This window comes from Homo sapiens, chromosome Y (genome assembly GCF_000001405.40).
Source record: "Homo sapiens chromosome Y, GRCh38.p14 Primary Assembly".
NCBI classification, from domain to species: Eukaryota; Metazoa; Chordata; class Mammalia; order Primates; family Hominidae; genus Homo; species Homo sapiens.
The window spans coordinates 24,801,893-24,813,690 of record NC_000024.10 but is presented as its reverse complement, the minus strand read 5'-3'; the positions used below and the strand labels follow the sequence as shown (position 1 = coordinate 24,813,690).

At 39.1% G+C, this 11,798-nt stretch overlaps 1 protein-coding gene across 1 annotated transcript in view; it reads left to right on the top strand.

Moving 5' to 3' along the window:
• The window catches only part of DAZ3 (deleted in azoospermia 3), a 50,325-nt gene continuing 38,824 nt past the window's right edge, over positions 298-11,798 (top strand). The window contains exons 1-7 of the mRNA NM_020364.4: positions 298-508; positions 7,110-7,256; positions 7,531-7,622; positions 8,183-8,234; positions 8,671-8,734; positions 8,824-8,963; positions 10,364-10,435. Of these exons, the coding sequence (NP_065097.2) occupies positions 506-508; positions 7,110-7,256; positions 7,531-7,622; positions 8,183-8,234; positions 8,671-8,734; positions 8,824-8,963; positions 10,364-10,435 (570 nt within the window). The 5' untranslated portion in view covers positions 298-505. The remainder of the gene's footprint in view (positions 509-7,109; positions 7,257-7,530; positions 7,623-8,182; positions 8,235-8,670; positions 8,735-8,823; positions 8,964-10,363; positions 10,436-11,798) is intronic.

Genomic DNA, 11,798 nt, shown 5'->3' with positions numbered 1-11,798 from the left:
ACTACAGCCCAGACACATTATCATTTTTTAAAACTATACCATATATTTCAGTATGCATACTTATTTCAAGGGTGTTTTGGAGGCGGTGCCTGCCTGGAACCCAGGCACTGGCCAGCACACACGCACGGCATACCCTGCGTACTCTACGCACCCACAGCGTGGGGGACGGCCGTCATCCCCCGCAGGCCTCCACCCTCCAGGGGGCGGGTGTGCTGCCACCCATTGGCTCAGGCCGATACCACGCGCCCCGATACCCGGCACAGGAGCCACCTCCCAGAGCCCCGCAGTCCATGCCTCAGTCGGCCTGCGCTCCTCAGCCTGGCGGTTCTACCTCCGAGGGTTCGCCCGCCCTTGGTTTTCCTTACACCTTAGCCTTTGGCTCCTTTGACCACTCGAAGCCCCACAGCGTGTTCCAGCGGACTTCACCAGCAGACCCAGAAGTGGTGGGTGAAACACTGCCTCTGTTCCTCCTTGAGCCTGTCGGGAGCTGCTGCCTGCCACCACCATGGTGAGTTGAAGGAAAGACCTGAGGGGCAAGGCCTGTGGGGTCTTCACCGGTGGGTGAAACCAGGCTCCGCCTTATCCTCGGTTTTCCTGTTTCGGGGCCACCCCGCTGAATGCATTAGGAGCCGTGGCCCGCAGGGTGGGGTGAGGCGGCCTGGCAGCAGCGCGGCCTATACAGAGAGGCAGGCACAGAAGTGGCGGGACAGCAAGCATGGCGTGGGTCCCCAGGACGCCCTGCCTCACAGTTCACTTACAAGGGCCACGGCCTCCTTGCGGAACCCATTTCCTGCCCCGGGTTCTCTCCTGGCAGCGGTTTGGGGTGCGGGTTCCCCACCCCCACGCGTCCCCACCCCCACTCCTAGGCGCCCTTTCCCCCTTCCCCCACTCCCACGCGCCCCCACCCCGCCAACTTCACTTCTGACGCTCTCCTGGTGGCTCCGCAAGATGGCGGCGGGCCTGCTGAGAGACTTGCCTCCTTGGATTGGGAGGGCCGGAACTTCTTCAGGAAGTGGTTCCCTCCTGGTCCTTGTACTACTGGGTGGGGTGGGTTGGTGGGGTTTGTGGGGGCCTGAGTGTGGCGGGTGGGGCGGCCTGAAGGCGCGGCCCACTAGCTGAGGGGGCTGGGTGGGAAGTGCCTCTGATCCTTTCGCGGCTAGCAGCTGCTGGGGGCTTGGCTGATGGCGGCTGGCTGATGGCGGCTCCCTACTGCGGCGGCGACAGGCACAAAAGCTCACTCGACGCCATCTTTGTGGCAAGAGGTTGGCTTCGGCAGTTACCATTGAGAATTTTAGAATTTTTAAACTCCAGGCACAATCTTTCCCCCGTAGATAAACCAGGAAACTTTGACTAAATGTCCAATTGGTAGATAATGTTGGGTGTGCATTTCTGTGAGTTTGGTAAATGCCCAGCGTTCATTGAGCGCCATCACAGATGTGGCTCTGAATACGCTGACCAAACACTGAGTCACAAACACGCGTGTTACATGCTGTGTGCGTATCTGCATTGATAATTTTGTCTTTTCGTTTTTGGAAATAAAAGGAGGAGTTTTATACACGGTTTATATTACCATGTATAAACATTAAAAATACATAAGCAACTATAATGTGTAATAAGTGTGCAACATGTTACCCATGCTAATGAAAAAATCACCTTGAGTTATAAGTTATAATTATTTACAATAATACTTTTCATTTTTAGAGGTAGAGGGAAGAAATGCTTATCGTTTCATTAGGTTTTTTTCCTGATTATAAAAGTAGTGTAGTATATTTACTCATTTGAAAACAATCACACTAAGAAAATAGCAGTCCATGTTAATACCAACACATAAAACCACAGTTAAGTTTTGATACATGAATGCCTTTCCAACTTATTTTTATGCATGTATTGCAATTGCATATAGATAGGCCAGCTTTTACAAAAGTTACATAGTGCTGCTTAATACTATTTTACAACTGGCAGCTTTCAATTAATGTGGGTATTATTCTGAAGATAACTTTAATTTTCAGTATATCATGTTAAAAATTGTACTGTTGTTTTACTGAATTCCCTTATGATGAATACTTTTTCAGTATTAAAACTATCATGGGCTGGGCGCGGTGGCTCACGCCTGTAATCCCAACACTTTGGGAGACTGAGGCGGGCGGATCACTTGAGGTCAGGATTTCGAGAGCAGCCCGATTAACATGGTGAAACCCCATCTCTACTAAAAATACGAAAAATTAGCCAGGCGTGGTGGCGTGCACTTGTAATCCCAGCTACTCGGGAGGCTGAGGCAGGAGAATCATTTGAACCTGGGAAGCAGGTTGCAGTGAGCTGAGATGGTGCCACTGCAGTCCAGCCTAGGCAACAAAGGGAGACTCAGTCTCAAAACAAAATTTAAAAAATGCCATGAATGTCCTTGTGTAAATATCTTGGCACACTTGTACTTAATTATTAATTCCTTGAGATTAATTGCTGTAAGTGGCATTGCTGGGTGGAAGTGCTTTTGCCCTTTCATAACAATTTTAAATTATGCTCCTCATTAGTATAGTGGTGAGTATCCCCCTGTCAAATTATGATACACCTTTTCCAAGGTGCTCTTGGTAAAGCATGTATCAGTATTTTCCCACTGATGGTGTGTAGAGTGATCTCTGTTGCACACCCTTTCTAATGAACGGTATTAGGATTTTGTACATCGTCAGCCTAATAGCTGGATAATGTTACACTATGTTGATGTGCACTTTTTTGAATCATCAGTGAAGTTGAGCATTGATCATTAGCTTTTTAAATTTCCTTTTTTAATTTTATTTTTCTTACTGACTCATAAAAACCCTGTATTAATATTCGCATTTGTCATACATAGTGGGAAAATATATATAGTAGTAATGATGAGGTGCCATGGTGCCCTTACCTTATTCCTATTTTCAGTGGAGATGGCTCTAGTATTTCACTGTAAGCTTCATGATAGGGTAGAATTAGATTGATAGAAAGCAAGAATCCTCTATTTCTATTTTACTTAGGTTTTTAAAAAATTTAAAAATGAATGCTGTATTTTATTAAATACTTTTTCAATGATGAATTAAAGTAACGTATCCTGCGAATGCAGTATTCTTGCATTGCCAATATAAACTATATTCTTTCCTACTGGAATTTTGCATTTGTGTTGAGGAGAGGGTTGGACCATCTTGATGAGGCTTTGTTGCTTATGTGTTGTTAACCTTTGTAAAATGCATTGAGAAGTACTTTTTTCCTCTTTGAAAATTGAAGAAAAGAGTTTACATTTCTTAATCTCTTCTTCTATCTTTACTTCAGGTTTCTGGCGTCTGTGTGCACCTCTCTGTGACACACCACATACACCCAAGTTACCTGTTTCTTTACAAGTTGAAAAAACTCCCAGGGAAACTAAGCCAAATACCATTGGGTGTTCTTTTTCAAGATTGTTTGGGAAGAATTAAAATTTCTGTACAAGTTGACCATGTCGTTGATTTCAAAATTTATTCCTATAGAGTTTGAGCATAACATTCTTTTATAACCACGGGCCACAACCCATTTTTCAGGTCTCATATATTTTTGCTTTTTCTTGCTTAGTTTTGCAAGGATTGTGTATTGCTTGAATTTCATCCTTGCCACCCACCACTCCCCGGGACTCTGTTCTTGGATTAACTTCTGATTTTCACGTCATATTTTCTTAATTTTAGCATTCTCTTTATTTGCTCCTCTTCCTATTGCTGTGAATGTAACTTTGATGACTACAAATGATAGGCTTTTTCCTGGCCAGTTTATGTAAATAACAATTTGCTTACATGTTCACATAGTAATTGCATTAGATAATACTGGCAGAGGAGCTGACATGGCAGGAGTTTAATGATAATTTTTTCCAGCTTTTAGCTGTCTTTGTCACTTGATTGTCCGCATATAACAAGGAATATGTTTGCTAGAAATAGCAATGAGAGTTGTGATTATGACGGTCTTGAAGCTCACCCCTGTTTACTATTGCAACATTTCTCATTTGAAAATTCAACAACTCACTTGAAGATACGGTTAAGAAAATTACTTCTTGTGTTTTGTGTTTTTTTGTTTGTTTGTTTGTTTTATTTTATTTTATTTTTTTGAGACGGAGTCTCGCTCTGTCGCCCAGGCCGGACTGCGGACTGCAGTGGCGCAATCTCGGCTCACTGCAAGCTCCGCTTCCCGGGTTCACGCCATTCTCCTGCCTCAGCCTCCCGAGTAGCTGGGACTACAGGCGCCCGCCACCGCGCCCGGCTAATTTTTTGTATTTTTAGTAGAGACGGGGTTTCACCTTGTTAGCCAGGATGGTCTCGATCTCCTGACCTCATGATCCACCCGCCTCGGCCTCCCAAAGTGCTGGGATTACAGGCGTGAGCCACCGCGCCCGGCCAAGAAAATTACTTCTTTAATGCAGTTTGTTTTCAGGATGCCATTGACGGTTACGATGGTACTTTCTTTCAAACTAAACTTTTGCTTATCCGAAGCATTCATTTATATTTTTGGCCGTAGTTTAAAACTAACCAAAGTTTGTCTGTTGATTGTGGATTTTTATATATACATTATATAATTATGTATAAGTACACAGTCGGAATTGAACAATCCCTGCTACTCGAGCCATGGTAAAAGTGAAGTACGTTGCAGAAAACGAGGTACATTGCTTACCTTGTTAGCTTTGAGCGCCACCTGCTGGCTGAGGACTAGGACATGATCATTACTTCCTTCATTTAAAGTATTATGACGCTATTAGAGAGATTCAGTGAATTTTATATGTACGATTCCAGTTAAGCAGGCAGCCGGTTTGTAAGATCCAAGCTAAAGTCAAACTTCTTAATAATATCAAATGCCTTTTTTCTTCTTTACCAAACTACGGTTATTTCGAGTATCCAAATGAGTATGAGAATCAGAAGAGACACCCGAGGTCTTTTCCGGCCATTCGTTTTCAAGCAAGGAAACTGAAACCGAGGTCATGAAAAGATTCACTTTAGTGAGCGATGGAAATCAGGTTCTTCCCAAAGAAGAATTTTCCTCTTCAATTCTTGTGGCACGGTGACAAGGTTTCTTAACCAGACCCTTTTCAAATTGTGCACCAAATACTTCCTTATGGTAGGAGGCTGTCTTTACACTGTAGGATGCGCAGTAGTGTGCCTGGCCTTCGGCCCATCAGATTCCAGGAATACATCTCAGTTGTGACAGCCAATCTCTAAACGTCGCTAAATGCCCCTGGGGCTCAAAAATCTTGCCCAGTTGAGAATCAGTGCATTTCCATAACCTCTCGTAGTCTGACACAGTTTTCTGCCAGATGTTACATTTCTAAATTAAAATACATCCAAACACTATGGTGCAGAGACGATACTGTAATATAGCTTGTTTATCAAGGAAACACGTACCCAAAGTTCATCCACAAATCAAGGAGGAATTGGAAAGGAGAAAAAGAAACTACAAGAATTTCAGAATTTGTTTTGTTTTGTTTTATTCTGTTTGGGATTTCTGAATGAACTGAGAAGGAATTGGTAAATTGTCTATAGGGAAGGGAGATCTAATCAGGTTCCCAGTAGTTCAAGGTAGTGCAGCTTAATGTCATTTGGAAAAAACAATAATGTGAGACATTTTTGAAAGGAAGAACTTTAAAAACAGTGTTTTAAATTTTTCTTTCACATCATTGTCATGAAATAACGCTGTTAAAGGAAAGAATTAGGAATTAGTTACAAACCCAAAATAGCAAGTACAAGCACGAAAGAATAGAGAAATGCAGTAACCTCGGCTTTAGTTGATTTGACAATTTAGATTTGATCTCTAGTAAAGCTGTGTAGAATCAGTAACTTCTAGGCTCTAATTAACAAAGCAGGAACCCTCCTTTCTTATTAACTTCTGTAACATTACTGTGTTCTAAAAGATAACGCAGTTTCTTTTGTCTTTTGTTTTCTTTCAGACAGGTATATGTGTAATAGCTTTCTCTTTTGCAGCATTTTGTACTGACATTTGTGAAGTCAACAGCACTTCACCAATGATTTTTAAATTAATGATGTGTCATAGTTTCCTGATGTGTCAATTAGTTCTTAATTAAAATTTTTTTCAAAATAAGTCAGCTAAATAGTGAAGCCAAAAAAGAAACTTGAAAACAAATCGGCTGAAAATAAATTCAAATAACAGGACACTAACTTACATTGGCACACCACTTGTACCACTTTATACGTACAAAATGAATTCACAGATGTGATCTCATGTCATTCTCAAAGCACTTTGCCCACAGATACATAGCTGGCAAGTAGGTGGCTTATAACCACTTACCTGTAAGGGACATAAACCTAGATCTCCTGACTGAATTAATTTTTGTTTCACTATGCTATATTGTTTCTCCAACGTATATATTACTTATGAATACTACTTCAGAAAATTTTACATTAACCTTAGAGTCTGCTGTGGAAAGAATAAAGACAGTTCTGATCAGAATCTAGAAAATTAGTGAGTTATATGTATGTGTTTTTTTATCTGAAAATAAAGATGGTATCATTTATATCTATCAGCCCACTGTGAAAATCAGAATTATCAGTCAGACTGATTCCGTGTTACTCAGGAAGAAAAATGTTATTTCAAAAGATGCTTTGAACACCCTAGCGTTAGGGAAGAGGATTGTAACAAATTGGTTTAAAACGTTGAGGCTTATTTTCTTTTTGGTGGGGCTTTTTTTTTTTTTTTTTTTTTTTTAAGATTTATCTTTAGTCTACTCAGTAAAGTGAAAAGTTGTTTATGAATATAGAACAGGATGATTTTAATAACTTTAATTTTTACAAATCTAAACTCTCTAGTTTTGGGTGTCTTTTTTAACTACTTCACGTAGTACTTTCACAAATACTAAATGGGTATTCTTCCACAGCATTATACAAGACTCGGTGATGAGCGGCACTAGGTTTAAGAAAGTACTGTATCCTTCGGTTAAAATTCCATGCTGATGTACTCTGATAAGTTTAAATCCTGAGCCTGAACTGAGCTGCACTGGTGACTGAATTACAATGAAAGTAATTTATGTAAAATATACTTAAAATACAAAAATGGTATTTCACATTATGTATGGGTTTTGCCTGCATACGTAATTATGATGTCTACTTTCCAAATTACAGTCTGCTGCAAATCCTGAGACTCCAAACTCAACCATCTCCAGAGAGGCCAGCACCCAGTCTTCATCAGCTGCAGCTAGCCAAGGCTGGGTGTTACCAGAAGGCAAAATCGTGCCAAACACTGTTTTTGTTGGTGGAATTGATGCTAGGGTATTGTATTCGTACCTCATTTTTACCTTAACATACATCATGAACAATGGGATGTGGGCCCTGTTACAAACTTAAATTTTTTTTTGTACTTCCTGGAGGTTTAGAATTGCTTTTAGGTTTGACCCATAGGTACTAAAAATATCTTTGACAAAGGGCTGCTGGTCATTCGGGGATAAATGGGGGAGAAATTTCCACCTCATGGTAGTAAAATTGTAGTAAAGTTGAAATTTTTGAATGCTGAATTTTTACTCTGACGTTCAGTTCTTTTCCATAGATGGATGAAACTGAGATTGGAAGCTGCTTTGGTAGATACGGTTCAGTGAAAGAAGTGAAGATAATCACGAATCGAACTGGTGTGTCCAAAGGGTGAGTAATTTTATCAAAAATATGTGAACTCCAGTCACCTATTCTATAAGTATCAGACAAGACTTCAAAACTGATATTCTGACCCTTGTATAAATGCAATATTCTGCAGTGTTAATTTCTTTCACGTAGGGGATAAAAGGCTATTACCAGTTCTTCTATTTGACCATTTTTCTAATGTTTGTATTTAAATGTCTCCAGTTTCTATTTCATACAGATGAGTTAATCAGTTTTCTCAAATAATTGTTTTCTTCATACACTGCAGAGCATCTTAAATTTTAACCACCTTGTCTTAGACAGTAAGTTAAACTCAGGTTCACAGATATGAATTCTTTGCTAATCAATAAAGTTGTCACACTGCCCTAATCCTAGCACATTTTGACATAGTTCTGCTTAAGAAAAAGTGGTATTTGTAGAGGATCTGTCATGTACATCTTAGCAAATACTTATCATGGTATATTATTCGTCTTTTGTCATGATCACTTCTGTATATAGAATAGTAGACCTTCTGAACCACGTACTGTATGATGGTGATTTTATGCTTCATTTGTCTGCCTTTATAGCTATGGATTTGTTTCGTTTGTTAATGACGTGGATGTCCAGAAGATAGTAGGAGTAAGTAATCTAATAGAAAAATCTCTTATTTATCTTATTGCTACAACGTTTAGTGTCAGTGATACACTCGGACTTGTGTAAAATTTGGGGAAAGACACACTTCCTGTTCAAAATCCAAACTCAGAGTAACCTCACGTAGCTTGTTTGATCCTGTTTATTTTTGACTGGACACCTAGTTTCATGAACTACAGACAGGAAGGGTTGGAGACAGGGTGATGGAAAGTTTTTGATCAACTTTCACTTGATGCCTCTTGACACTGATTAGAGTAGTAAGGGTAAGTAAGGTAGCTTCGTGATGACAAATTTTAATTTGGTGCGTAGTTGTCCCCGATCTTCTATGATGATAGGTACTTTAGAAGACTTCAGGTGTTTACCCAAGTCTTGGAAGCTAACACTTGAAAATTGATTCTAGTTTTGTTAACGGTTCTATTTTCAGTCACAGATACATTTCCATGGTAAAAAGCTGAAGCTGGGCCCTGCAATCAGGAAACAAAAGTTATGTGAGTAGGAAAAGAAATGGTTCTTTTCTGACCTGTGTAGCTTTTCAAATAACTAAAAATAGGCTTTTTTCTTCTTGCTTTTTAAAAAGGTGCTCGTCATGTGCAGCCACGTCCTTTGGTAGTTAATCCTCCTCCTCCACCACAGTTTCAGAACGTCTGGCGGAATCCAAACACTGAAACCTACCTGCAGCCCCAAATCACGCCGAATCCTGTAACTCAGCACGTTCAGGTAAGAACTGCTTATGTTCCTGTTCTCTTGTTTATTCTAGTCATCCTTCCCTCTGTGGAATTGTATCTACACTTTCCATAGTAAGTGGCAATAGAATCCCTGTTTGAACAGTGTGAGTAACGGGAAATCTGTTACTTTTGTTAGAAATTTCTTATTCTTCGTGTTCGTCATTTGAGCTAAGAATCTTCTGTATACTTGGCGAAGCTTTCTCTTAGAAATGACCTCTGTAGACACATGAACAAATCTCTTCCTATCTCTGCCTCTTTCACCTCATATAACTAGTTCCTAAAGTATTTGGAAGCAGCCCTCCTTATGTGTCTGCCTAGTTTATTGTTCTCTAAGGTTAGCAGTTAACCTAGCTATTCTTTACTTGCAGTGATTTCCAGATGCCTCCTCATATAAATTGCTTGACTTCTGGGTATATTCTGGTTCTGGGATGGGTAGATTTCTGATCTCTTTTGCTCTATCTAGAAATCCCGTGAGTTTCTGGCACGTAATTTCTCTGATGCTGGTTGCTTTGATATTTAAAGTAGGATTTGACATACTCTTGTCACTTACTGGTGATAAATAACGTTTAGTTTGTTCTTCGTTCATTTTATTTATGTGTTAGTTTTTAAAAAGAGGTTTTCTTCGATGGAAAATAAAGTAACCAAATAGTAGTGAATTAGTTCTTCAGTGTCTCTCATTTGTTGACATTTTCCATGTACTTGAAACGTGTGGGGTACACCTCTTCTTCTTTTTCCTTCTCTGAGCAATGGCTAGAAGAAAAGCCCTACTTGTTTGTAGCATTTACTGTGAGCCATTACTGAATGTGGGTGTATTGATGAATGATGCTACCTGTATGTTTTTAATCAGTAAGTATTTATTGAAAAGTAGAAGACATTATACTGTCTCTTTTCCAGCTGTGGCTTACTTACTGCCCTTAATTTGTGGAAAAGAAGTACAGAGAAAGCCGTAACATCTGCCGAAGAACTACAGTATTACCCTATAATATCATCAGATAGCAAACAGTCTAGAAGTATTTTGCCAAAGAAAGAGCAAATGTATTATTTTAACTTACGTTGAAATCTATCTTAATAGAGCCTTATCAGCAGCGTAAGAAATAACTTCTGGGTGGGCATAAGTACACAGTATAAATATGGTAGACTTTGGCCGGTGCAACAGTCACTTGTTTTGTCATTTGTCTCTTCCCCCTCCCCGCCCAAAGGGTAGCACTTGACAGAGAATATTTGTTTCTTCATGTCAGTCATTCATTTAGAAATCTGTATTTCTGTATGTAGAAAAATAATTACCATTTCAAGGTTTTTCGTATTTTTGTTATTTTGGGAATGATATTTCTTTCTAGTTAAAGAAAATGTTTTACCGTATTAATCCATTCTTTCTGTAAACTTTATTTTCAGGCTTACTCTGCTTATCCACATTCACCAGGTCAGGTCATCACTGGATGTCAGTTGCTTGTATATAATTATCAGGTAATTGAAGAGGGAGTAAGATGATTTACTTTCAGCTACTATTGAGGCCTCAACTTGCTTATACAAATTGCTTGAATAGGTTGTCCTTTTAAACTAGTGAACTGTACCTAAAATTTAAGAAATCACTTAGAATTAGTGTAATGAGGACCTCTGTTTTATTTAGAAGTGATGAAATAAGATTTTGACAGGAGGGTACTTAGCAATAACTTTTCCGTAGAACAATTTCTGAGATTTGGTGTTCCCTTCTTTGTTTCAGCATGTATTTTGTTATCTTTGCTGTCAAAGAGCTGAAACATCCAGACTGACTTTCCTGAATCTTGTAGAGATACAGAGTGAAATAAAAGCTTTACCGAATTCTTAGAGCACAGAATTTCAGTTGTATTTTTATTTTAGCTTGCTGCTTCATGATAGCAGTTCTCTGGGTCTCTTTTCAATGGTACAACTATTATCTGTGACCCATAATTGTATCTGTGGTAACAAATTCAAAGAATTAATATCTTTGAGGGTTCCACAATTCTGTTTCCATAAAATTGGGAAAAAGGTGAGGTTTTCTGTGTAGAAGTAACAACAAGAACTTTGGGGATTAGAAACCTAAAGTACTTCTTTTTTCTATTCTGTTTCTTTTATTATAACAAAGGAGCCATCATGATAAATACTCCAATATTATGTAACTCATGTGTTTTTGAAAACGTGTAGGAGTATTTAAATAATTTTGGTTACTTTTTTTTTTTTTTTTTTTTTTTTAATTTAAGATTCCACTGCACTGGCCTGTTGGGGCGCAAAGGAGTTATGTTGTTCCTCCGGTAAAGCGAATGAGTGAAACATATACCTGCTCTTCTTTCTTGATTTTTTGTGTGGCACATATGCCTATAAATATTTTTAATGATTCTTTATATTGATGTGTTAACGTTTTGTTACTTTCTTTTTAACCCAATTATAATCTCCCATGGGAGAAACAGTGCCTTTTTCTCTCTCAGGTTTTTGTATGCTTAAGCAATGGCTTCTCCAAATTATGACAAGTGTTCAGTTACTTGTCGATAGATTATTTAATCTAAGAAAGGTAGTCCTAATGTGGCTTTATCTAAGAAAGGTAGTATTAATTTGGCTTTAGAATAGCATGTATCTGATGAGAATCTGCATCTGGATGTACCAACCATAAAAAATTTCATAAAAGAAACAGAAATGTTTTGCTGTTAATTACTCTTAAATAAGAATAGGATTAAAAAGAGTATTACCTCTATAACACCTGAGCTGCTTTCCCCCATATAACTAAAATATTTAAAAGCAGTTCTCCTCATGTGTCTGCCTGCTTTATTCTTCTCTAAGTTTAGCAGTTAATCCAGGTATTCTTTATTTGAAATGA